This window comes from Homo sapiens, chromosome 9 (genome assembly GCF_000001405.40).
Source record: "Homo sapiens chromosome 9, GRCh38.p14 Primary Assembly".
Taxonomy (NCBI): Eukaryota; Metazoa; Chordata; class Mammalia; order Primates; family Hominidae; genus Homo; species Homo sapiens.
This window is the reverse complement of record NC_000009.12, coordinates 86,091,320-86,118,066: the sequence shown is the minus strand read 5'-3', so window position 1 is coordinate 86,118,066 and position 26,747 is coordinate 86,091,320. Positions and strand designations below refer to the sequence as shown.

At 43.6% G+C, this 26,747-nt stretch overlaps 1 protein-coding gene across 2 annotated transcripts in view, besides 5 other annotated features; it reads left to right on the top strand.

Annotated features, from left to right (window-relative positions):
• The first annotated feature begins 17,917 nt into the window (after positions 1-17,917).
• GOLM1 (golgi membrane protein 1) overlaps positions 17,918-26,747 on the top strand; it is a 74,004-nt gene continuing 65,174 nt past the window's right edge. The window contains exon 1 of one of the 2 annotated variants that reach the window (NM_177937.3): positions 17,918-18,042. The gene's annotated coding sequence lies outside the window, so the exon portion shown is untranslated. Of the gene's footprint in view, positions 18,043-18,508; positions 18,657-26,747 lie in introns of those variants that run through there. The other variant, NM_016548.4, reaches the window with a different exon arrangement.
• Positions 18,298-18,617: a silencer, noted in NCBI's record as "silent region_19994". NCBI's record gives its function as "represses an Ori minimal core promoter by ATAC-STARR-seq in GM12878 lymphoblastoid cells {active_cell/tissue: GM12878}" and the evidence as "EXISTENCE:reporter gene assay evidence [ECO:0000049][PMID:35858748]".
• Positions 18,568-19,068: an enhancer, noted in NCBI's record as "H3K27ac hESC enhancer chr9:88713914-88714414 (GRCh37/hg19 assembly coordinates)". NCBI's record gives its function as "activates a minimal SCP1, AML or CMV promoter by ChIP-STARR-seq in naive H9 embryonic stem cells {active_cell/tissue: H9 hESC(naive)}" and the evidence as "EXISTENCE:reporter gene assay evidence [ECO:0000049][PMID:30033119]".
• Positions 18,628-18,727: a silencer, noted in NCBI's record as "silent region_19993". NCBI's record gives its function as "represses an Ori minimal core promoter by ATAC-STARR-seq in GM12878 lymphoblastoid cells {active_cell/tissue: GM12878}" and the evidence as "EXISTENCE:reporter gene assay evidence [ECO:0000049][PMID:35858748]".
• Positions 18,888-18,937: a silencer, noted in NCBI's record as "silent region_19992". NCBI's record gives its function as "represses an Ori minimal core promoter by ATAC-STARR-seq in GM12878 lymphoblastoid cells {active_cell/tissue: GM12878}" and the evidence as "EXISTENCE:reporter gene assay evidence [ECO:0000049][PMID:35858748]".
• Positions 24,019-24,313: a silencer, noted in NCBI's record as "tiled region #3020; HepG2 Repressive DNase matched - State 8:EnhW". NCBI's record gives its function as "represses a minimal TATA promoter and a strong SV40 promoter by Sharpr-MPRA in HepG2 cells {active_cell/tissue: HepG2}" and the evidence as "EXISTENCE:reporter gene assay evidence [ECO:0000049][PMID:27701403]".

Sequence of the window (26,747 nt, the reverse complement as noted above, 5' to 3'; positions counted from 1 at the left end):
TACTGTGTTGCCCAGGCTGGTCTTGAACTCCTGAGCTCAGGTAATCCACCTGCCTCAGCTTCCCAAATTGCTAGGATTGCAGGCGTGAGCCACCGCACCCACCCTGCAATTGCTATTTTTACATATTATCTCAGTGCTCTAAAATTATCCTAGCCTACATGCAAGAATGGGTAAAGGCCCCATAAACAAAAATGGAGTGAGTTCTGTTAGTTCTTTTGCTGTTTCGCTGCTACAATGGCCTCTTAGAATTACAGTCGCCTCATTTAACTAGGGCCCGATTTCATAATTTGAGGTCTTGGTGGATAAGAATCTTCAGGAGAAATACCTAATTTGAGCTGTGTTGATGTCTTCAAGCATGAGGACAGGCTTGAAAGAAAACAGGCTGTTCCTAACCTGCAGGAGAAGTGAATCATGTTAACCTGGGGCCTTGGAAATGCTCATTTTGGGAGCTGTCCTTCAGGAGGTCTCAATCACTGAAGGTCTTGCCTTTTGAGTTTTCTCATCTGAGAACGGCCTCAAAGGGACAGAGACGGTCTTGGGACTCTGCCTGGCAGCAGTCCATCTTCATCAGCCCCTTCCTACCTCCCCTCATCCCTCCCTCCTCTTCCTTCTTTACCCCACATAATTCCCTTGGCCCCTTGCCAGCCGTGCTGTCCATATGTGAACAATGCTCTACTTTGATGGAGGAAAAAAAGGGTCTTTAATTTTTTTTTTAATTATCATAAGTATTGGTACCTTGTGGCTCACGCCTGTAATCCCAGCACTTTGGGAGGCCGAGGCAGGTGGATCAGTTGAGGCCAGCAGTTTAAGACCAGCCTGGCCAACATGGTGAACCCCGTCTCTACTAAAATCACAAAAATCAGCCGGGCTTGGTGGCGTGCACCTGTGATCCTAGCTACTCGGGAGGCTGAGGCAGGAGAATCACTCGAACCCAGGAGGCGGAGGTTGCAGTAAGCTGAGATCGCACCACTGCACTTCACCCTAGGTGACAGAGCAAGACTCCATCTCCAAAAAGAAAGTATTAGTACCTTGATATTTTTTCTATCTCTAGAGGTTTGCTTACAAATACACATATCTATATTAGGGAGAGGACTACATAAACACTCAAAGAGATAAAACATTAATGATGCAACATCAGACATTCTTCAGGAAGGCAGTGAGGGTAGGATCCACCAGGCCCAGCCTCCCAAAACTGTCCCCTCTGCTCCCCCCAGCTCCTCCACGGGTTAGGCTGGCTCCACTCTTGTGTTCTTTCCATCCTTAATTCAAACTCCATGTCCCTCTTCTCTGACTGTTCCCAAATTTCAAACTGCATCCCTGATGGATCCTTTCTTGTAAGAAGGCTGCTCTTCCTGGGTAGCCTGAAAATCTTCCCCGGCTCATTACCATAGCAACGAGAGCACGCCGCTGAAATCTGCAGCACGGAGGGGCTGGCAGCGCAGCTCCCACACACTACGACTCAGATGGCAGCTTCCTCAGGCCACTAAAGGAGCAACCCTTTCTGAGCTCATAGATATTAAAAATAGAGAATGGTATCCCTTGATCAAATTACTGCGTGCCTCCAGATCACTTTCCTCTCCTATGTGTGACAGAAGTGAGTTTTTCTTTCATTGCGGAGGAAAATCTAGAGATGGTTCTGTCTAATCCCACCCAAAATGGCAGTGACTCAGTATACAGGTCGGGAGGACCCTCTATTCGGCAATCATCACCCCTCTAAGGGCTTAGAGCACCCTGCACCCGGGGTTGTGGAAAGCGGGGAGAAGTGAGCTGTTTGAGACCAAACACAATTTGGTGGCTGATACTGGCATGATCCTCCTTCGCAGTGCATGGGGCCTTTTGGCTGCAGAGGGAAGTAACCCATACTGAGAGGGAAAACAGAGGTTCTGTGGTTTTGGCGAGCACAGGGGCCACTCAGATGGTGACAAGGTGGGCCGCAGGCCCTGAGGAGGCCTTGACAAGACCTGTGTCCAGTCCTCTCCCTAACCCAGGGAATCCTTTCTAGAGTCACTGCAGCCTCCAACGCCGGGCTCGAGGGATCCTCCCACCCCAGTCTCCGGAGCAGCTGAGACTACAGGTGTGTGCCACCAAGCCCAGCTAATGTTTTGTAGGGGGGTGGGAGTGGTCTCGATTTTCCCGCTGGCTGGTCTTGATTAGAATTCTTTCAAGGCATTTCTTCCAAATCTTTTTTTTTTATACTTTAAGTTTTAGGGTACATGTGCACAAGGTGCAGGTTTGTTACATATGTATATATGTGCCATGTTGGTGTGCTGCACCCGTTAACTCGTCATTTACATTAGGTATATCTCCTAATGCTATCCCTCCCCGCTCCCCCCACCCCACAACAGGCCCTGGTGTGTTCCCCTTCCTGTGTCCAGGTGTTCTCATTGTTCAATTCCCACCTATGAGTGAGAACCTGCGGTGTTTGGTTTTGTGTCCTTGCAATAGTTTGCTGAGAATGATGATTTCCAGCTTCATTCATATCCCTACAAAGGACACGAACTCATCCTTTTTTATGGCTGCATAGTATTCCATGGTGTATATGTGCCACATTTTCTTAATCCAGTCTATCATTGAGGGACATTTAGGTTGGTTCCAAGTCTTTGCTATTGTGAATAGTGCCGCAATAAACATACATGTGCATTTGTCTTTATAGCAGCATGATTTATAATCCTTTGGGTATATACCCAGTAATGGGATGGCTGGTTCAAATGGTATTTCTAGTTCCAGATCCTTGAGGAATCGCCACACTGACTTCCACAATGGTTGAACTAGTTTACAGTCCCACCAACAGTGTAAAAGTGTTCCTATTTCTTCCAAATCTTTTTCTAACTGTATGCATCCCTCCATTTCCCCCTCACGCCTCTGGCACTGCGGCTTTTAAAATTCAAAGACCAATAAATGAACCTGTTTTTCTTTCTGTTTTTCCCCTGTGCTATCCATGCCCTTATGCAATGCACACAGACTGCCTAGATCAGGGGCTTATTTGAAGCTACTTTTTGCAGGCTGGTGGAGTCTATAGGCCCCTTCATTTTAAATGCATAAAAATAAAAAGGAAACCAGTCATATTAAAAGACAAATTGCCAATATATTAAAAAAAAATGTGTGATATCGTAATATATGTGCTTCTTTATTAACACATTATTAATAAGGTTAAGTTTTTTATTTCAAATTGTTGACATGCATAAGTGTTATTTTGAAACATGTGCCACAAATCTAAAGTGCTATGAAAATACCTGTGTTTTCTATTGGTTGCAAAGTTATGAGTACTGTGAAAAAGGTCAGCTGCCTACGTTAAAATGGAAGGAAATGCTAAATTTCAGTTAGGTGTTATATCAAGAACTGTGAAGCGTCTGAGATTTTACCCTACCAGGAAGGGTAACAAATTAGCATGAGACAGTTTCAGGGATGCTGATAGAAGACATGAGACTCCTGGGTCAGACGTAAAAGACTGTTTGCTACAGCAACAGCAGTATCCAGAATATCAGCATTTGTGCTCGTTCTCTGAGCCCCATTTCTGGCAGGGTAATGCAAAGAGGGCTAGATGATCCCTGCACACATTGTGGGTTGCATTACATTATTTATGTTAACATGTAATGGATGTATCTCTTTTAAATAAATTAATATTTTAAATTTTTCTCAGTTTTTTTGTTTTTGTTTTTGTTTTTGTTTTTGTTTTGTTTTGTTTTGTTTTTGAGATGGTGTCTCTCTCTGTTGCTCAGGCTGGAGTGCAGTGGTGCAATCTTGGCTCACTGCAATCTCTTCCTCCTAGGTTCAAGCGATTCTCCTGCCCCAGCCTCCTGAGCAGCTGGGATTACAGGTGTGCGCCACCATGCCCAGTTAATTTTTGTATTTTTAGTAGAGATGGGGTTTCAACATGTTGGCCAGGCTGGTCTCGAACTCTTAACTTCAGGTGATCCGCCCACCTCAGCCTCCCAAAGTGCTAGGACTACAGGCATGAGCCACCGCACCCGGCCTCAGTTTTAATTCCTAAAATATTGATAGATTCACATGATCAAAAACTCTTTGGGCTCATCAATAATTTTTAAGTGTGTTCATTTTAAAATGTTGGTCCTGAGACTAAAAGCTTGAGATCATCTGGTTTAGATTGTTACATTGCATGGTTGGGAAGGTAGGCCAGGGGCAAAAAAATAAATAAAAAAATAAAAATAAATATGCTGGCTGGCAATGAAAAAGCATATTAGATAATAATAAAAAAATTTTTAAAGAAAGTGTTGGGTGAGGTGATACCTAGGGTGGCAACATTAGGATTCTGTGACATGGGAGGGTAAAACTCTTTTCAAGACTGAAGTCGAAGACACTTTAGTGGAAGGAAGCAACATGTTAGGAAGGAATGAATCCTTCCGGCAGCCTGGTGAATCCAAGGTTAAATTCTTCCCTATAATACGGTATCACTTTAGTCTCCACTAGACTCTCCTAGAAAGAGCAGAGGATCAAGGAAGAAATCAGAAAAACTGAGCATTTGTCCAAAAGAGACTGAAGTCAGCATTAACTGGCTACTTTATGGTTCTCTTCCCAACTCCACACCATTTCTCCATGGAAACTCAAGAGGAAGATGGGCTCTATTCCATAAAAGAAAGCAGCAGCATTCTCTGTACACATGCAAGTCACTGTCTCTCATCCTACACCACTGTAAACACCCAGGGTCTGGGTGTCTAAATAACTGAAGTCAGGGGTTTGCATCTTCAGGCTTACAGATCAATGCTGCATAATCATTAGCTAACAAACCCGTGGTGGTGGTGGCGGTGGTGGTTGGTGATGGTGGTGTCTATGCCTCCAAAGGCAGAAACTGAGTCTCCAGAAGGCTGAGGTGGTAGACAGGGGCAAAACCAGAAGTAGAGGCGCCCTAATGTAAAGACCAGAGTTTCCTCCTTTATGATTTTGCCTAGAATGAAAATGCAAGACGGGAGTGCATATAATTTAGACTTTTGGATGCTTGCCTTTCTCTATTTCCAGTCATAAACCCTTGACACATCGAACACAACTTTTTTTTTTTGACATGAAGTTTCACTCTTGTAGCCCAGGCTGGAGTGCAATGGCACGGTCTCGGCTCACTGCAACCTCTGCCTCCTGGGTTCAAGCGATTCTGTCTCAGCCTCCCAACTAGCTGAGATTACAGGCATGCACCACCATATGCTTGGTGCGTATTTTTAGTAGAGACAGGGTTTCTCCATGTTGGTCAGGCTGGTCTCGAACTCCTGACCTCAGGTGATCTGCCTGCCTCAGCCTCCCAAAATGCTGGGATTACAGGCGTGAGCCACTGCGCCTGGCCTAACACAACTTTTTTTTCCCCGCTTTGCTTTGGCTCCCTGATTCCCCCCATTTTTTTTGTTCTCATAGTGTGGTTTCTTTTAGAAATTCGATGTGAAAAACAAGGTGGGTGGTGGAAGATGCCCTTGGCAAAGAAAATAGCTACATCTCTTTCCATGCAACCTCCTCCTGCCCCCCACAATCTCCATCCTCCCCCTTGGCCCCTGATTCACTGTGTCCCTGACGTCTCTCCTTCTGACTGATTTCCACTCACTGCCCTCAGGAATGTGCTCGAAAACTAATTACCAAAGTATCAATGCCCTGCTGGCTGCTCTGGTTATCCATTGCTGCATAACAAACCATCACAATATCCAGTGGCTTCAAACAACAGTCATTTTCTTATCCTCCCTCTGGTTCTGAGTGCTGACTAGTGCAGCAGGCCCTTCTGGCTCAGGGTATCTGCTGCAGTTGCAGTCAGATGGAAAACTCAGTGGCAGGGGGTGGTGACTCCAGAGCTGACAGGTCTCCGTGTCTGGCAGGTGATGCTAGCTGTTGGCTGAGACCACAGTTGTGGTTCGTGGACAGACGACTACACGTGGCCTCTGCATGTGGCCTGGGCTCCCTTACAGCATGGTGTCTCCTCACAGCAACAGGAACCTCCCAAGAGATAGCCAGGAGGAGGCTGTGCTACCTTTTATGACCCAGCCTCGGCCTCAGATCTGTTGTAGTTCATCTGTTGGAGTAGTCATAAGCCCTCACCCAGATTCGTGACCCAGCCTCGGCCTCAGATCTGCCGTAGTCCATCTATTGGAGTAGTCATAAGCTCCCACCCAGATTCATGGGGAAGAGACACAGACTCCAGTCTCAATGGAAGGAGTGTCCAAGAGTTTTGGGGCCAAAGCAAGTCACAACTTTCCCCTTGCCCTCCTTAGTGAAGTCTGGACCATTGAAACTCCAGCTTTACTAAGATACTAGGGGCCAGGTGTGGTGGCTCACGCCTGTAATTCCAGCACCTTGGGAGGCTGGGGTGGGTGGATCACCTGAGGTCAGGAGTTCGAGACCAGCCTGGCCAACATGGTAAAACCCCATCTCTACTAAAAATACAAAAAAAAAATTAACCGGGCATGGTGGTGGGCACCTGTAATCCCAGCTACTTGCGAGGCTGAGGCAGGAGAATCACTTGAACCTGGGAGGCAAAGGTTGCACTGAGCCGAGATTGCACCATTGCACACCAGCCTGGGCAACAAGAGCTGAACTCCATCTCAAAAAAAAAAAAAAAGATACTAGGGCTTCACTTGCCATTAACCTGCCTCACTAAGAATGGCAGAGAATGGTAGCTGTCACAAAACATCTCTTCTTCCTTTCTTACTTAGGAAGTTTTTATCTGGGCACATTGCTTCCCACAATATGAGACTCTATTTCCCAGATGCCTTGCAGCTAAATGTGGACATGTGACTAAGTTCTGGAGAAGGAAAGTAATCAGAAATGTCATATGCAACTTCTGAGAGGTGGCCTTAAAGGAAGGGAAGAAGCTCTTTTTCCTTTCTGCTGAATGGAATATAGAAGTGACAGCTTCGGCCTCACCAGCCGTCTTGGATTACAAGGATGAGGGCCGTATCTGGAGCCATGGAGCAGTGGAACCTGAGTCCCTGTGGACTTTCAGACCTGCCCTTTCATCCCAAGACTGCCCACTAAAGACTTACTCTGTGAGAAGATAAAACTTTGCGGGCTTAAGTCACTATCATTTTTGGCTTCTTGTGGTGATGAGACAGCTGAGCTTAATCCTAAAATGGTATACAAACCAAAGCTCTTTGTCTTGGCTTTATGTCCTAAAGAGCAGAACCCTAAAAAGAAAAGAGATCTTCCCCAGATCCAGTTGAATATCCTTTTACTACTCACTAAAACATTAGATTCTCTCTTGTATCTGGTGTTTCTCAGTAAGTGTGCTACTCATATGAAGAGACAGAAGCATTTTTGTTGTTGTTGTTGTGCAGGACACTGAACTAAATCAATGGCAGGCTGGGCGTGGTGGCTCATGCCTGTAATCCCAGCACTTTGGGAGGCCAAGGTGGGTGGATCACCTGAGGTCAGGAGTTCAAGACCAGCCTGGCCAACACTGTGAAACCAACCCGTCTCTCCTAAAAATACAAAAATTAGCCAGGTGTGGTGGCACAGGCGTGTAATCCCAGCTACTAGGGAGGCTGAGGCAGGAGAATCACTTGAACCTGGGAGGTGGAGGTTGCACTGAGCCGAGATCGCACCATTGCACCATTGCACTCCAGCCTGGGTGACAGAGTCTCAAAAAAAAAAACTATAATAAATAAAAATAAATATGAAAATACTTTTTAAAAAATTAGCCAGGCATGTTGGTGTGCGCCCGTAGTCCCAGCTACTTGGGAGGCTGAAGCAGGAGAATTGCTTGAACCTGGGAGGTGGAGGTTGTAGTGAGCTGAGATCACACCACTGCACTCCAGCCTGGGCGATGGAGCAAGACTCTGTCTCATAAAAGGAAAAAAGAAAAGAAAAAAGGTCAATAGCACACATTCCCTCACCCTCATGCCCACAAATCACTGTTAAAACACAAAAGTCTGCACGGCGCAGTGGCCCACACCTGTAATCCCAGCACCTTGGGAGGCCGAGGCAGGTGGATCACCTGAGGTCAGAAGTTTGAGACCAGCCTGATCAACATGGTGAAACCCCATCTCTGCTAAAAATACAAAAATTAGCCAGGCATGGTGGCTGGCGCCTGTGATTCCAGCTACTCAGGAGGCTGAGGCAGGAAAATCGCTTGAACATGTGAGGTGGAGGTTGCCGTGAGCCAAGATTATGCCATTGCACTCCAGCCTGGGCGACAAGAGCAAAACTCTGTCTCAAAAAAAAAAGTCTCCCCAAATTTCCAAATGCTCTCTAGGTACACAATATCACCCTCAGTTGGAAACCACTGCTTTGTGTATGTGTGTGTGAGTGTGTATGTGTGTATTATACAATACTGGTCTGTTTTTAATTTTTTTTGATACATAATAAATGTACATTTTTCAGGGTACATGTGATAATTTAATACATTCATATATTTCTAAAGATTAAATCAGTGTGATTAGAATATCTATCACATTAAATATTTGTCTTTGTGCTAGGAACACATTCAAATTATTGTCTTCTAGCTATTTGAAATATACAATAAACTACTGTAAACTGTAGTCACCCTACTGGTCTATCAATTACTAGTTCTTAGTTCTTCTATCAAACCATGTATTTGAACATTCATATATTTCTAAAGATTAAATCAGTGTGATTAGAATATCTATCACATTAAATATTTGTCTTTTCTTTGTGCTAGGAACACATTCAAATTATTGTCTTCTAGCTATTTGAAATATACAATAAACTACTGTAAACTGTAGTCACCCTACTGGTCTATCAATTACTAGTTCTTAGTTCTTCTATCAAACCATGTATTTGAACATTCATATATTTCTAAAGATTAAATCAGTGTGATTAGAATATCTATCACATTAAATATTTGTCTTCTCTTTGTGCTAGGAACACATTCAAATTATTGTCTTCTAGCTATTTGAAATATACAATAAACTACTGTAAACTGTAGTCACCCTACTGGTCTATCAATTACTAGTTCTTAGTTCTTCTGTCAAACCGTGTAGTTGAACATTCATATATTTCTAAAGATTAAATCAGTGTGATTAGAATATCTATCACATTAAATATTTGTCTTCTCTTTGTGCTAGGAACACATTCAAATTATTGTCTTCTAGCTATTTGAAATATACAATAAACTACTGTAAACTGTAGTCACCCTACTGGTCTATCAATTACTAGTTCTTAGTTCTTCTATCAAACCATGTATTTGAACATTCATATATTTCTAAAGATTAAATCAGTGTGATTAGAATATCTATCACATTAAATATTTGTCTTCTCTTTGTGCTAGGAACACATTCAAATTATTGTCTTCTAGCTATTTGAAATATACAATAAACTACTGTAAACTGTAGTCACCCTACTGGTCTATCAATTACTAGTTCTTAGTTCTTCTATCAAACCATGTATTTGAACATTCATATATTTCTAAAGATTAAATCAGTGTGATTAGAATATCTATCACATTAAATATTTGTCTTCTCTTTGTGCTAGGAACACATTCAAATTATTGTCTTCTAGCTATTTGAAATATACAATAAACTACTGTAAACTGTAGTCACCCTACTGGTCTATCAATTACTAGTTCTTAGTTCTTCTGTCAAACCGTGTAGTTGAACATTCATATATTTCTAAAGATTAAATCAGTGTGATTAGAATATCTATCACATTAAATATTTGTCTTCTCTTTGTGCTAGGAACACATTCAAATTATTGTCTTCTAGCTATTTGAAATATACAATAAACTACTGTAAACTGTAGTCACCCTACTGGTCTATCAATTACTAGTTCTTAGTTCTTCTGTCAAACCGTGTAGTTGAACATTCATATATTTCTAAAGATTAAATCAGTGTGATTAGAATATCTATCACATTAAATATTTGTCTTCTCTTTGTGCTAGGAACACATTCAAATTATTGTCTTCTAGCTATTTGAAACATACAATAAACTACTGTAAACTGTAGTCACCCTACTGGTCTATCAATTACTAGTTCTTAGTTCTTCTGTCAAACCGTGTAGTTGAACATTCATATATTTCTAAAGATTAAATCAGTGTGATTAGAATATCTATCACATTAAATATTTGTCTTCTCTTTGTGCTAGGAACACATTCAAATTATTGTCTTCTAGCTATTTGAAATATACAATAAACTACTGTAAACTGTAGTCACCCTACTGGTCTATCAATTACTAGTTCTTAGTTCTTCTGTCAAACCGTGTAGTTGAACATTCATATATTTCTAAAGATTAAATCAGTGTGATTAGAATATCTATCACATTAAATATTTGTCTTCTCTTTGTGCTAGGAACACATTCAAATTATTGTCTTCTAGCTATTTGAAATATACAATAAACTACTGTAAACTGTAGTCACCCTACTGGTCTATCAATTACTAGTTCTTAGTTCTTCTGTCAAACCGTGTAGTTGAACATTCATATATTTCTAAAGATTAAATCAGTGTGATTAGAATATCTATCACATTAAATATTTGTCTTCTCTTTGTGCTAGGAACACATTCAAATTATTGTCTTCTAGCTATTTGAAATATACAATAAACTACTGTAAACTGTAGTCACCCTACTGGTCTATCAATTACTAGTTCTTAGTTCTTCTGTCAAACCGTGTAGTTGAACATTCATATATTTCTAAAGATTAAATCAGTGTGATTAGAATATCTATCACATTAAATATTTGTCTTCTCTTTGTGCTAGGAACACATTCAAATTATTGTCTTCTAGCTATTTGAAACATACAATAAACTACTGTAAACTGTAGTCACCCTACTGGTCTATCAATTACTAGTTCTTAGTTCTTCTGTCAAACCGTGTAGTTGAACTGTATTAGTCAACCTCTCTTCATCCTCCCCTCCACCCTTCCCAGCCTCGGGTGATCACCAATCTACTCTCTACCTTCATAAGATCCACTTTTTTTTAGCCCCCACATTTAAGTGAGAACATGTGATTTTTGTTTTTCTGTGTTTGTCTTTTAACACCTAACATAGTGACACAACCACTGCTGTAGACCAAGAAAGCAGGACTGGCCCTCTCTCCCACCTACCTTAGATGTTCTATGTTCTTTCTTTCTGATGACTAATACTGGGCATGACTCATTTCAAAACCCACATAGATGTGACCTCACCATGTCACCCTTGGTGGATGCCTTGGTTCACTTTTTTTTTTTTTTTTTTTGAGATGAATTCTCACTCTGTCGCCCAGGCTGGAGTGCAGTGGTGCGATCTCGGCTCACTGCAAGCTCCGCCCTCCTGGGTTCACACCATTCTCCTGCCTCAGCCTCCCAAATAGCTGGGACTACAGGCACCCACCACCACACCAGCTAATTTTTTGTATGTTTCATAGAGACGGGGTTTTACCACGTTAGCCAGGATGGTCTCGATCTCCTGACCTCATGATCCACTTGCCTCGGCTTCCCAAAGTGCTGGATTACAGGCGTGAGCCACTGTGCCCTGCCTTCTTTTTTTTTGAGACGGAGTCTCACTCTGTGCCCCAGACTGGAGTGGAGTGGCGTGATCTCAACTCACGTAACCTCCGCTTCCTGGGTTCAAGTGATTCTCTTGCCTCAGCCTCCCAAGTAGCTGGGATTACAGGCGTGCACCATAATGCCCAGCTAATTTTTTTTTTATTTTTAGTAGAGACAGGATTTCACCATGTTGGCCAGGCCGGTCTCGAACTTCTGACCTCAAGTGATCCACCTGCCTTGGCCTCCCAAAGTGTTGGGATTACAGGCGTGAGCCATAAAGCCTGGCCGGTGCCTTGATTCTTAACTCAGGTTATGAGAAAATTTTTCTAGGTGCAGAGAACTCGTCAAGTTTCATAACATGAGAGGTCTATGGGCACACAAATCAAGGTAGGATGAGAAGAATTGGGTGCAAGTGCTCTATTCCACAGCCCATAAGCACATGCTTGTGTGAAAAACAAATACACATCAAAACAAAGGACTAAAACCACTGAAATACAATTGATGTTGATATTTCAAACTTTTTTTTTTTAATTTTTTGAGACAGGGTCTCACTTTGTCACCCTGGCTGGAGTGTAGTGATGCAATCTTGGTTCACTGACGTCTTGACCTCCTCCTGGGCTGAAGCGATCCTCCCACCTCAGCCTCCCAAGTAGCTGGGAGTACAGGCGTGTGCCACCACACCTGGCGACTTTTTTGTTTTTTTTTTTTTTTGTAGAGACGGGTTTTCCCCATGTTGCCCAGGCTGGTCTCGAACTCCTGAGCTCAAGCAATCCACCCACCTTGTCCTCCCAAAGTGTTAGGATTACAGGCGTGAGCTACCACACCACGCCAGCCCCAAACTATTTTAAATAAGTATCCTCCTTTCTCAAAAGTCATTTAAAAATAAGCTATAGTAGAAGAATCATTGAGCCAGGCAACTTCTTAAGTTTGTAAGTTTACAAGTATTCTTAATATTGCTGCACAGTTAAAATAAACCATGGAATCTCTCATTCCACCGTTATAAGCCTCAAGGTCAAAAAGCTAACCTACTTCAGAAGCCTTTTGAAGGAGCTGAGGGAGTATTCTGAGAACAAAAGGCATGCAAGCATTAGTAAAGTAGAAGAACATTTTTTGTACAACTTCATCTTGATGCACAAACACACACCTTTCCCATATACACTGGACCAGGGTGTTACCTTATATTAGCTTGGTGCAAAAGTAATGGCAAGAGCCCCAATTATTTTTGCATCAACCTAAAAAAAGTAATTGTGGCTTTTGCCATTACTTTTGCACCAACCTAATATATACCAGACCTCACATCTTCAAACTGGTCCCCATGTAACAGGATACCCTCCAGCATGGTCCTTTTCCTTCCTACTTGCTCAAGGAAACTGACAGGCATTGCACACAGCTCTGCCCTGCCCCTCTGGCTGGTTCCTCTGCAGTCCTTGGCATTTGGACCTGTCTCTAACGTGTACCCCACACCAAGAAGAGCAAATGGTGAAGGCAGCTCTGTAAGAGCATCAGTCAAAAGATGTTACAGGTCTCACAATACACTACGGCACCTCTTTACTAAGCGATGGGAAGCTTTTACAAACTAATATGTCCTTCTCAATTCCAAATCACATCCAGGTTCATGACACCATGGAGGTACAATCACACTGTTTTACAACCCCAATCAATACAGAAGACTGAAGGCAGTTACTTGAATGCTTAAAATTACAAGAGCCATCTACTCTAGAATGAGGATGGATCAACGTCCAGGAATTTCTACTTTCCTTTGTACTACAACAACCTGACCTTTCAAAGGTTTGGAATAATCAGTAAAAAACCTTCTTCCAACACAGGATTTCCAGAGAGCAAAAACAAAACAATGGCAAAAACCAAACAGGATACCCGGTTAAATCTGAATTTCAGAAAAACAACACATAATTTTTTTAGTATCTGTCCCATGGTACATTTGGGAAATACTTGTACTAAAACAATTATTTGTTGTTAATCTGAAGTTCATATTTAACTGGCAAACCTACCAGGTAACAAAAGGATTCTAAGACTCTATTAGTCAGGATTATTTTGCCTGCTTGTGACAGAAACCCATTTCATTACTGGCTTAAGTAAAATGAGAAGTTAATTGGCTGATAAAACTGCTAAGTCCAGGGATAGACCTAGCTTCAGATATGGCTTGATCCAGAAGTTCAAATGACATAATCAACACTAGGTATTTGTCTCTATCTTTCTCCACATATAAGGCCCAGGTCTCTCCGTGATGGCCATAAACAGCTTGAGGCCTATATTCTCCCAATATGGGCTGCCTTCATAGGAAAAGATAACTTTTCTGTCTCAGTAGTTCCAGGGATTGTCCTATAATGGAGTCTTACTGGACTAATTGGGTCATGTGCCTCTCCCTGAACCAATTACTATAGCCTATAGAATTGGACATTGTAACAATTTCTTATGGCTGTTATAACGAATTACCCAACCTGGATGGCGTAAAACAATTGAAATTTTATTCCCTCATAGTTCTGGAGGTGTTCTTCCAAAGGCTATAGCAGGGAAACCGTTCCAGCTTCCCGTGGCCGAAGACATCCTTGGCTTGTGGCCCCATACTCCAGTCTCTGCCCTCCGTAGTCACATTTGCCTTCTATTTTCTGTCTCAAAACTCCCATTTCCTTTCCATTATAAGGACACTTACGGTTTATTCATAGCCTACCCAGATAATCCAGGATAAGAGCCCCCTCTCATGATCCTTACCCTAATTACATACTTTGCCATATAAGATAATATTTAAAGGTTCTGGGGATTAGAGCATGGATATATCTTTGGCAGGGGGCAACTGTTCAGCTTATGACAGATATTTAGGATTGAAAAGTCAGGGAGAAATAGTTCTCCAAAAAATGATGATGTTGGTACCTGAGAAAGGAAATAATGGATACTGAAAGCAAACACAGCAAGATATTTACAGCAAATACTTTTTAGTCTGTTCAATTCAATTTATTTCATGCAGTTTACCCTTGAACAATCTACGGGTTAGGGACACCCCCATCTCTGCACAGTTGGAAATCTGCATTTAACTTTGATTCCCCCAAAACTTAACTACTGATAGCCTACTGTTGACTGGTAGCCTTACTGATAACATAAACAGTTAACACATATTTTGCATGTTATATGTATTATAAACTGTATTCTTACAATAAGGTAAGCTAGAGAAAAGAAGGCAGCATTTAAGAGCAATGAACTAGGATATCTAGCAGAAGAAATGTCTAAGCAGTAAAGCATTCAAGGTGTTGCATGGATTGTTTTGGCTGCTTACAGTAAAATTAGAGAAGAAATAAATGATTAAAAGATGAAATTTATAACTAAAAAGGAAGCAGAAAAAAATTTTGAAAATTTTCAGCCTGGCCAAGAGTGCAAAGGCATGTTTGGGAGAGCCTCATAAAGATGTAAGTCCTTGTAGGGATATAGTCCAGTGGACCCCTTGCTAAAGAGATTACCATGGCTAGAAAGGAGTCAGGTGCTATTCATCAAGACAAGAAAGACCCCAATGGCATTTCAGAGATTTTTTAGGTTGCCCCTTCCATCACAGGCCCAGAGCAGGACCTTGAAGGCAAGGTTTCCAGAGACGTGGCCACAGGACCTCAGCATTTGCTACCAGGCACTGCCTCAAGTATCTGCTCCCCGCTTTCCAGCACAGCACTCCACAGCTGTTGCAGCTGTGTGGCTCAAGTGGGCCCAGCTGTGGCTTAGGCTACTGTTCTAGAGGGTGTAAGTGGTGGGCCTTGGCGGCATCCATGTGGTGCTAATTCTGAAGGTACACAGAGTTCATGAGCTATGGGGCTATGGCAGCCTCCACCTAGATTCCAAAGAATGTACTGGACAGCCTGGGGATACAGGCAGAAACTTGCCGTAGGGGCAGAACTGCCACAGAGATTCCCTACCAGGGAAATGCCTAGTGGAGCCATGGAAGCAAAGCCATAGCAGGGAACCACCACTAGGACAATGACCAATGGAACTGTGGGGTTGGGGCTGTCCCAGAGCCCCCAGAACTGTAGAGCTACCAGTGTGCAACACAGCTTGGAAGAGCTTTAGACATGAGACTACAAACCATGAGGTTCTGTGACATGACTACACCCAGCCAAGTTATACAGATGGGGCAGCCCAAGACCTTGGGGGTCCAACTCCCACCCTAGTATGCTTAGAAGGTGAGATATAGTCAAGAAAGGCTATTCTGAGGCTTTGGGATTTAATGTTATTTTTTCCCTGTTGGGTTTTGGACTTACTTGGGACCAGTTACCCCTTTATCTTACATATTTCTCCCTTTGGGAATGTGAATACCTATACTGTGCCTGTGCCACCATTGTATTTTGGAAGTAAATAATTTGTTTTAATTTCACAGGCTCATTGCTGGAGGAATTTGTCTTAGGATGAATTGTGCCTTGAATCTTGCTCATATCTGATTTAGATGAGACTCTGGACTTTCTAGTTGGTGCTAGAGTGAAGACCTTAGGGCTGCCAGGTGCAGTGGCTCATGACTGTAGTCCCACCACTCTCGAAGGCTGAGGCAGGTGGATTGCTTGAGCCCAGGAGTTTGAGACCAGCCTGGGCCACATGTCAAAACCTCATCTCTACAAAAAATACCAAAAAAATTAGCTGAGCATGATGGCATACACCTGTAGTCCCAGTTACTCAGGAGGCTGAGGTGGGAGAATCACCTGAGCCCAGGAGGTTGAGGCTGTAGTGAGCCATGATCACACCACTGCACTTCTGCCGGGGGGACAGAGTGAAACCCTGTCTCAAAATAAATAAATAAATAAATAAATATTAAAGCCTTTAGGGCTGTTGGGATGGAATAAATGTATTTTGTATGTGAGAAGGATATGAACTGGGGGTGGTGGGGGGCATAGAAGCAGAATGCTATGGTTTGAATGTGTGCTCCATAAAGCACGTGTTGAAAACTGAATCTCCAGTGCAACAGTGTTGGGAGGTGGGGCCCAAAGGGAGGTGTTTAGGTCATAAAGGCTCCACTCTTATAAATAAATTAATGCCAATTATAGAGGGTTTGAGGCTGCAAGTTCAATTTCACATACACCCTCTTGCCCTTCTGCCTTCCACCACAGGCTGATGCAGCAAGAAGGCCCTTGCAAGATGCCAGCACCTTGATATTAGACTTCCTAGCCTTCAGAACTATGAGAAATACATTTCTTTTCTTTATAAATTACTGAGTCTGTGGAATTGTGTTATAGCAACACAAAATGGACTAAGACATTAAGGAAAGGATGCTTAACAGGCAAAACATGGATGCTTCCTTCAACCAACCACTGTAGCCCCTTGCACATTGTTTAATCAAAACCCATCCAATTGAATTTTCAGGGCCAGCAACTGATTAGCTTTTTTATAAGGAATGTAAATTATGTATATAGATATATATAAAACTGCATCTTAAAATTTTCAACTTTTGTCATAAAGAATCTAACGAAAAGGACTAATTCATCTTCAATTAAAATATAGCTCATTCAGCCAGCTGCCTTAGCACCTAGACATATGGACCTGTTCCATAAAGTGTTTAAGAATCACTGAGTGAGTCGCTAATTAGTTGCTGATAAATGAGAGACTAATGGAGACCCTCCTTAGAGCCAAATGATATAGAAGTTACAGTCCACCAGTCTAAGAATGTAAACTATACTAAGAGAGCTAAAATGGGCAAGAAAGGGAATTTCCTGTACCTGTCCCCGATTATGGTTATTTAAGCTCACTAGAAGATCAAAGTGACACAACTTAAGTCTGCAAAACCAGGGCTGACATCTGATACAGCCTCAGCTTCTGAATGCTTTGGTCTGACCCTACAACAGTTTAACAGTTGCAGATAACAAAAATATCATTTTGGAATATAGTAGAACATTCCTCTAAAGGGGTCATGTATGGTCAGCTTCTAATTCAGCTAAGAGGTTTTAGCTGGTAAAGATACGTTTCCTGCAGTTAAGAAGCTCCATGCTCAGGTAGCAATAGGGTATCTTGATCACCTTTTTTAAGGTGACTCTTTGTTCTGGTTAAAATCAATTTCAGCTGTGAGCATTCCTTTAGGTGTTCATGTATTTACTTGTTTTTTTATTGTGATTTGAGAGAGGCGCAGAGGAAGGAGTTTCCTTTCCCAGACACCAGAGCTAGGAAGACATGAAGACATGATTCTAGGAAAACTGTTCTCAATCTTGGCCGTATACTGTATTAGGATTATCTGGGAAGCTCAAAACAAACAAAAAATATCAAGTTCACTTTGAACTCTGGAAGTGGGACCCTGGTTCCTAAATGCTCTAAAAGCTCCCCAAATAATTCTAATGGATGGCAGGTGCTGCCAGAGTTAAGAACCATTGCTTTAGAATTTTCTAGCATGGTTTCCCTGTAGGTCACTAGTTTTGTGGCATTCTCTCCGGGAGGTACGGCCTCATAGGGCTTCTCAAACATCAGTGCGCCTGAGCGTCATCTGAGGCGCTGTTTCAAATGCAGCTGCCCGGGCTATAAGATCACACCCGAAGGCGTCCGGGAATCTTCACTTTTTCCGTTGCTAGCAGTGGAAGGGTCACAGACCAAACACTAAGGCCTGAGCGGTGACAACCGAGGCGAGATGATGGTCAACAGGGAATGCCTCGTGGGAGAAAAAAGACAATTTTGTGAGTATAAGCCCCCTAAAAACCTGTTTTTCGTTCGCTTCCTTCTCTGGGCAGTTTTGACCCGACGACTTTTATAAAGAAGGTAACGTGAGTGTGGCGCTGGGTGCGGTTGGCTGTTCGGGAACATTCCCTCGGGGCGGAACGTGGGATGGGGGCTCCCCCCAGGTACCCTTTCCCCACAGCCGCTTCCCCGCTCCGCGTCGCTGCTCAGGCGCCAGCTCCCGCGTCGGAAGGGGCGATGGGGTGGCCCGGGGGAAGGGGCAACGCCCAGCGGCGAGAACTGGGCGCACGCTGGCGTTCCTGCTCCCGCCGAGGGGCGGCCACCGGCCGGGGCGCGCGCACCGTGGGGCCGGGAGTCCGCGCGGCCCCGGCAGCCCCTGCCTCGCTTCTCCGCGCTCGCGGCGCCGCCTCCTCCCTTCGCGCCGCCGGCGCTGCTCGGGGGCGGGGCCTTGCCGCTGCGGAGGCCGGAGACGCGGCGGCGCTGGACGCGGAGGCGCTGGGCGCACGGCGCGGAGCCGGCCGGAGCTCGAGGCCGGCGGCGGCGGGAGAGCGACCCGGGCGGCCTCGTAGCGGGGCCCCGGATCCCCGAGTGGCGGCCGGAGCCTCGAAAAGAGGTGAGTGGGCGGCGCGCGGCCCCAGGCTGCCCGAACCGCGGTCCATCGCTTCCTCCCTCCTTTGCCCAGGGCCCGTACCCCGCGCGCCGAGACCTCGCGTCGGTCCCCGGAGCCTCCCCGCGGCTTGCGCCGGGGCTGCAACCTTCGCTGGCTGCGCTCGGGGCTGGCTCCGCACCTTCCTGCACCGAGTAGCCCGCGGCTGCCTGGGCCCCTCGGCTCGCTCCCCAAGACCGGGCGCGCGGCCCCCTTGCCCTGCGATGAGGGGCCTCGCGAGGATTCCCTGCCCTGCAGTCTCAGGCGATGCGGGGCCTGTCTTTTTGTTCTGAGCTTTGTCACGCGCGTCGGCATCCAAAGTCAAAAGCGTGCACCCCCTAAGTCGCACTAGTTCCAGTTCTGCAGCGTGATTTGCACCAGGCGCGGGAGGCTGGCCGAGCCGCGAGTCTCTCGGCTCCCGCCGCCTCTTCCTCCCCTCCAGCCCCAGGCGCGCTCCGGCCGCCCTGGGGTCCACGTTGCCGCTGGGCCTCGTGGCTGGTGACCCCGGAGCTTGGGCTCCGGGTCCTCCCGCCGCGCGTCCAGAGCGCGGCTGCATCCCGTTCTCGTGGATGCTCGGGGTTTTCTCGCATACCTGTGTTTCCACCTTTGCCAACGTGGAGGATCCACACAACTTTGCCCTGCTGTAAAAATCATATCCCATTTAATATTTTTAATGATTTGCTTTTAAGAAACAAAATGTGAAGAATAACAATTTTGATGAAATTTTTTAGCAAAATTTAAGAATTATTATATTTGAAATACCATGATGATGCTGGACAATTTCAGATGTCCCATAGCCAGATTTGCAAAACTAAACTTGTGTGACTTTCACGATTTTGAGGTTTTCTTTGTCTGATTTGGGGTCCCTAGGCCCTACATTATGCACATTATTGAGGAACATTTCTAGGGCTGGATTAGTGAGATACACAATAACCTGATGAAGTATTTAGCAGCGCTTGAGTGGCTTTGTTTAGCTCATGGCCATCAGGTTGGCTCAAATCTCAGTTTTAGTATTTCTGAATTTTGGAGGGCATGGGACAATCTCTTGTCAGTTTTTGTGGGTCTCCAAAGGCATCCTAGCTTCTTCCAGTTGTGTTATAAAAGATGAAGCTAAGCTCATTACTTTCTTTCTTAATAGAAACTAGTAACTTGCTAAGACTTACTGTTTTTAGGCCAGACACTCAATTCTTAAGGTGTCAGTGAACAAAAATTGAATTGTTAGGATGGTTAAAGAAAAGAGGTTAGCTTTTAAGATACATTTTGTTCTCCTATGGAGAGGTTATCCAATTTTCACATTTTTTTTTAAAGTTGGTTTTACAGGAAAACGAAAGAAATGAGAGGAAAGTAGTGCTGAGGGTGGGGCCAGGAAATTGTGGTGACTTGGATATTAAGGGCCAGGGATACCATCTGCTTTCTAATGGCTGGTTTAGGTCCAGTTATTGATGGGAAATGAAAAGATTTTGCATTTACATTCCACCCGCTGTTGTTGTTGTTGTTGAGGGCTGGGCAGAAACAACAGTTAGGACAGCTGACCATAGCAGGCCCAGGGCTACCCGGGTTTATATATATATGGCCACCTTCCCCAGGAAGGAGGGAACTGCTACCCTTATCCTGTGAAAGTGCGAGCTGGCTTTCTGCATTGGAAGTACAGAGGGCAGAACCTGGGGAAAATGCGTCTGCGTGGATCAGTAGGAAGGGTGGAGCATCACTTTAGGCAGGTGTGCTGAGAAGAAGACAGGTGTCAGTTGATGGGCACTATTGGTGGGAGGGAGCTTGAAGGCAGCGTGGTCCCTGAGGTCCAGCCGCCTTTCTCAAAGGACCTGGGGTGGCCATTGGGGGCGGGGGAGCGGTGTTCTGTGCCTTTGGCTTAAATTCTGCAGCATTATTGTTATTACTTGTTTTTTCTTGAAATAAAAAAAAAATAAGTTGCCCTATGAAAAAAGATACATTTCTTTTTCAGTGACGTAATGTGAGAAATAACATTTGTAATTGGGATTTTTTAAAAGCACTTCTGTTTTTGTAAAACAAAACAATTTTTTAAACATTTGTAAAAAAGTAGAAGGAACAGAAGGAATGGTGCTACTATGCTTTTGCTCTCACCTTAGAAAAGGGCGAATGATATTTCACTTGCTCCCCAAAAACTGTTCTTAAAGATCATGGTGGTTTTCTGGACTTCTCACGTTATTGATGAAGTTACATTAAAAGAGAGACTTGTCTCCAAATTTATGAAGTGTTTCTTAAATTTCCAGAGAGTCTTTCCTTTCTTTCACACAGATATTTCTCACACTTTCAGGAAAAAAAAAAAAAAAAGTCCATGCCTTCTCAGATTTTTACATTTTGGTCTTATTTTCCTTTAAAACCCTTAAGCACTTTATTAGTAGGACTTCCCTTGCTAAGATTTTGAAGATTAGTGCCTGACAGAAAAAAGTACATATATAAATACTATATAATATGATTATAGTTGTTTATATTGTAATTTGCTATCGTTTCCCAACTTTTTTGATGTTTCTTAGTAATAAAAAAACTTTTTTAACACTCTTCTGTATGTGCATTTGTTGCTTATTTATAAACTACATGTATTTGCTGTTATGGTTATATTGTGTCTCAAGGCCCAATATACACATAGGGCTGGATTTGTTAACAACATTAGAGGTAGAAACCCTGTTTTAAATACTCTTTCTCTTAATTTTAAGTATTTTGGGCCTGTGTCTTGTCAGATCTGATTACATCAGCATAGTTTCTACTTCATGAGGTATCTCATGCAAGGCTGACTCAGTATAGAGCTTTGCCAGCCACGGTATTTTGCTGTCCTGTGTTTGCATTTATTAGTGGAATAAACAGACCTCTGACTTGGTAGGTCTGGGGTCGGCCACAAAATTTGCATTTCTGACAAATTCCAAGGTAATGCTGATGCTGCTAATATGGGGACCACACTTTAAGGACCATTGAACTACAGCAGGAGTTGGCAACCTGTTTCTGAAAAGGACCAGATACTATTTTAGATGTTGCAGACCCTGTGGTCCCTGTCACAACTACTCAGCTCTGCTGTTATAGCCCAGTAGCCACAGATAATATGTAAATGAATGGGCATGGTTCTGTTCCAGTAAAACTTTATTTATGGATACAGAAGTTTTAGTTTCATGTAATTTTCATGTGTCATGAGATATCCTTTTATTTCCAAACCAAAAAAAAAAAAAAAACCTATCGAGCAGTTATCATGTGGTGTGTACTTTATTGCCGCTGTAATTTTTAATCCTCACAACAAAAGGTTTTACATATTTAAAGTCTCATATCACTGCATCCTAGAACATGGGGTCAGTAGTAAGCCTACTTCAATGGACTTTTACAAGGATTGAATAAGATACAGAGAGGGGGATTATACAACTCACCAAAATTCATGCAAATAGTAAGAAAGCTAGGATTAAAATTCCTTTTGGCCTGACCCACATCAGTACTCTTTTCCTAAGCCACACTGCCTCAACAGTACCGCTAAGGAAGCACTCAAAATAACAGGTAGCTAAACTGACATCTAATATCACTTCATGGCATCCAAATTCTCCAAGGAGCACTGAACCAGGAGTCACCTGCCAGGTCAGTCTCCATCCCTCTATCAGTAGGTCTGTGTGCGAGTTGGGGAACACTGCAAGTTTCAGCTGGTTCTCGGTTCTTCTTGGTTTTCAGCCCTGCTGGGCTCTTTTGGGTCTTTCCCACGCGCGCATAATCTTCCAGGCAGCCAGGAATATGTGGAGAATTTATCTCAGCCCTTTGAAGCACTCTGTCATGAAATATTATTCTTTTAACTTTCTTCAACCATTGAAAATGTAAAAACTGGCCAGGCACGTTGGCTCATGCCTGTAATCCCAGCACTTTGGGAGGCTGAGGTGGGCGGATCACTTCAAGTCAGGAGTTCGAGACCAACCTGGCCAACATGGTGAAACCCCATCTCTATTTTAAAAAAAAAAAAAAAGGGAAAATACAAAAATTAGCTGGGCGTGGTGGCATGTGCCTGTAATTCCAGCTACCTGGGAGGCTGAGACATTCGAATCACTTGAACCCAGGAGGCAGAGGTTACAGACAGCTGAGATTGCGCCACTGCACTCCAGCCTGGGTGACAAAGCAAGACTTCGTCTCAAAAAAAAAGAAAAAAAATGTAAAAACTATTCTTAATTTGTGGGCAGTGTACAAAAATAGATGGCTGGCAGGATTGGGCCCTTGGGCGGCAGTTTGTGACTCAAGGAAAAATTGAGCTCCTACTGAGATGTATTCTTTTTTCTTTTCTTTTCTTTTTCTTTTTTTTTTTTTTAGACGGGGTTTTTGCCCAGGCTGGAGAGCAATGGCACTATCTCGGCTCACCGAAAACTCCGCTTCCCAGGTTCTAGTGATTCTCCTGCGTCAGCCTCCCAACTATCTGGGATTACAGGCATGCACCACCACGCCCGGCTAATTTTGTATTTTTAGTAAAGACAGGGTTTCTCCATGTTGGTCAGGCTGGTCTTGAACTCCCGATCTCAGGTGATCCGCCTGCCTTGGCCTCCCAAAGTGCTGGGATTACAGGCATTAGCCACCGTGCCTGGCCCAAGATGTATTCTTTTTTAAATATTTTTTTGTAGAGACAGGGTCTCCCTGCATAACATTGCCCAATCTGGTCTCGAATTCCTGGGCTCAAGTGATCCTCCTGCCTCAGCCTACCAAAGTGCTGGGATTATAGACGTGAGCCATCGTGCTGGCCCCAGGATATATTCTTGACGGTGGTTCAACCTTTCTTCAGAAAATTTCAAAACAGGAAGAATTTGGTTCCCTAGTTCATTTTCACTCATCCACCTCGCTTTTTGGTGTTTCTACTACCTACCACTATACATTCATTTTAAAAGTTTTAATCTTTAGACACTGTCAGCTTCTAGCATTGGGGAAAAGATGGTGTTCATTTTGGGGAAGTGAGAGGAAGAGAGTCTGTGTATTTCCTAGTAAGTTTTTAAAGCAATTTAAGCAGAACACAGTGACCTTGGTCATTTAATCCCAATGGGTTAGAGGCAGAGTTGACAAACTGTCTAAATGGTCAGATGGTAAATGTTTAATCCTCACAATACCCTATGGGCAGAGTTGGTCTGTGAGTCTCTGTCTCTGTCTCAACTTTTCAGTTCTACTTTGTAGCCAGAAAGCAGCCATAGGCAGTATTTATGGCAGTGTATAGTAAAACTTTAAAAAAAAAAAAACCAGGCCCGGATATGGCCTGTGGGCCATAGTTTGCTCACCCCTGGCTTAGAGACATTCTTGGGACAGGGTGGAATATTTCCAGGCCATCAGAAAACTTGGTGACTGATTCTTTCCCGGACTCCAGGCTGCGCCGGGGTGTGCTCAGGTCTGTTTGCTCATTGCAGTGACTTCTGAACTTCCTGCTGAGCCGCTGGGGCCATTCCTCTGAGAAGGAGTTAGAGGTGTGGCTCCACCACTGTTTGGAGAAGCCCAGTTTCTGCACTGGTTGATGTTGGTCAAACATGCTAATCTGACGCGATTGCTCCTATATATTTGCTTTTCTGATTTAAAGCCCTATATGAAAATAAGGAAATGTTAAACATAATATTTGACTAGGAGGGTCAAGGGGCTCGTGTATTTGGCATGTTGTCCATTTTCATATGCCTTTTCTTTCTTTTAAAAAAAGTAATTAGAAGGCTTTGTTAAATTACAAACATTTTGTCTTAAAAGCAAATAATAATTTTAACCAATAGGTTGAATTTTTAAATTAAGCCAGTAGGTAAGAATATGCAGTTTTTTCCTTTTCTGATTTATCAAGTGATTTTTTTTTTTTTTTGACAGAAATCTTGCTCTGTCGCCCAGGCTGGCATGCAGTGACGCAATCTCAACTCACTGCAACCTCCATCTCCTGGGTTCAAGCAATTCTCATGCCTTAGCCTCCCAAGTAGCTGGAATTACAGGTGTGTGCCACCACACCCAGATAATTTTGGGGTTTTTTTGTTGTTGTTTCTTTTTTTTTTTTTTTTTTTGAGGCAGAATCTCGCTCTGTCACTCAGGCTAGAGTGAGTGGCGCAATCTTGGCTCACAGCAACCTCTGCCTCCCAAGTTCAAGCGATTCTCCTGCCTCAGCCTCCCAAGTAGCTGGGATTACAGGCACACACCACCATGCCCAGCTAATTGTATTTTTAGTAGAGACAGGGTTTTGATATGTTGGCCAGGCTGGCCTCAAATTCCTGACCTCAGGTGATCGTCTGCCTTGGCCTCCCAAAGTGCTGGGATTATACACATGAGCCACTGTGTACACCCAGCCTATCAAGTGATTTTTAATGTGAAAACACACCACTTGTTTTAATTTTGGGAAAGCCTGGAGCCTCACAGAGTTTAGCTGATTTAAGTTAATCATTTTCAGTATGTTGGAAGCTTATAACCAAGTATGAGACAAACATATTCTGAAGCTTAAATGAAAATGAATATTAAATTAATACCTCTGTTTGATGCAGTATATCACTCACCCACTTCCATCTCATCCGCAATCCAAATAAATTCTAAGGTGGGAGAAGGGAGAGTGTCTGATGTATTTGACCACCATAAACTCTGCCTGTGAGTTCCTGCCACCAGCCTTCATCAGTCTTGATCATTTCTCGCCAGTGTGTGTCCCTTATCCTTCAGCAGCAAGGGTTTCTACAGTCCTGGAAGCCTGTGAGGAGGCACCTTGCAGGCCTGAAGCCTCATTGTGTTACTTCCTTTCCTTGTGTCACTATTTACCTGGGCAGCCCTGCTCCCATTGGGAGCCCAGGGCTCTCCTAAGAGTGCTGTCTAGACAGCTGCTCACCTTCCTGGCCAGCCAAGCACTGGGTGACAGTGAGGGGCTTCCAGGATTGTATGACTTCCAGGACTGTTTGAGGCTTGGCTTCCTCAAACCTTTTTCATAATATGATCCTGGTCTGGGATGTCCACGGCCTCAGTGGCAACTGTAGGTCAGCCCCAGGTAATGGCAGGTACTGCTATTTTAGTTGGTGGCAGAGTCAGGAGAAGGAAAGAGGAGGACTGGTTGCTATAAAGTAGAATGGTTATGGAAGGAAAACATGCATCACTGTTTCCTCATAAAATGGAAAAAAGATTGAATCTAGAAATGATTTGTTGTTCATCTTTCCATCCCTAATAGTTGTCAACATTTGTTGAGCAATTACTATGTGCCAAATGTAGCTCTAAGCGCTTCTCACTCAACTCACTGAATCCTCTTAAAAACCTTGTGAGCAGGACAGTGATGCACAGACAGGTCCTGTGTCCCCTGAGTGGTAGAGCAAGGGTCAGACATGGTTGTGGGGTTCCAGTCTTGGAGTTCCTGAGTGGTGGAGCCAGTGTCAGACATGGCTGTGAGGCTCCAGTCTGTGGGGTTCCTGAGTGGTGGAGCCAGGATTCAGATATGGCAATGGGATTCCAGTCTGTGCTCTTAATACCACCCTGAGCTGCCTGATGTGAATACAGCACCTGACTCATGGTAGCTGCTCAATAAATTTTTTATTGGCTGTTTAAAGAAAAGAGAATATTAAATGGTTATCTGTACACTTCCCTTGAAGTGAGAATGGAGTTTATTTTCTGCTTTCAAATTTATAATATACCCCACCCACTGACTTACCTCTACTAGAATAACAAAAGGCCTTGCAAGGGTCACATCTAAAAGTATTTTGTCAAGCCATGTGCGGCAGCATGTGCCTACTCGGAGACTGAGGTGTGAGGATTGCTTAGGTCCAGGAGTTCAAGGCTGCAGTGAGCCATGATTGTACCACTGCACTCCAGCCTGGGCGACAAGATTCCATCTCTTTAAGAAAAAGTATATTGTTAGAAAATTTAGTATATAACAAAGATAGTTGTTCAAAGCAGTAGGTAAAAATAGATTATTCAGTAGAGGGCCCTGGCAGAACTGGCTTGTCACTACAGGAAAAAAAAAAGCTGCATTCTTTGTATTTCCTTACTTCTGCATTCTTTGTATTTCCTTACTCCTTACATCAAAAAGGAGTTTTAAATGGATGAACAATTTAAATGTAAATATGAAACTGTACATTGGAAAAAAATGTGGGTAAG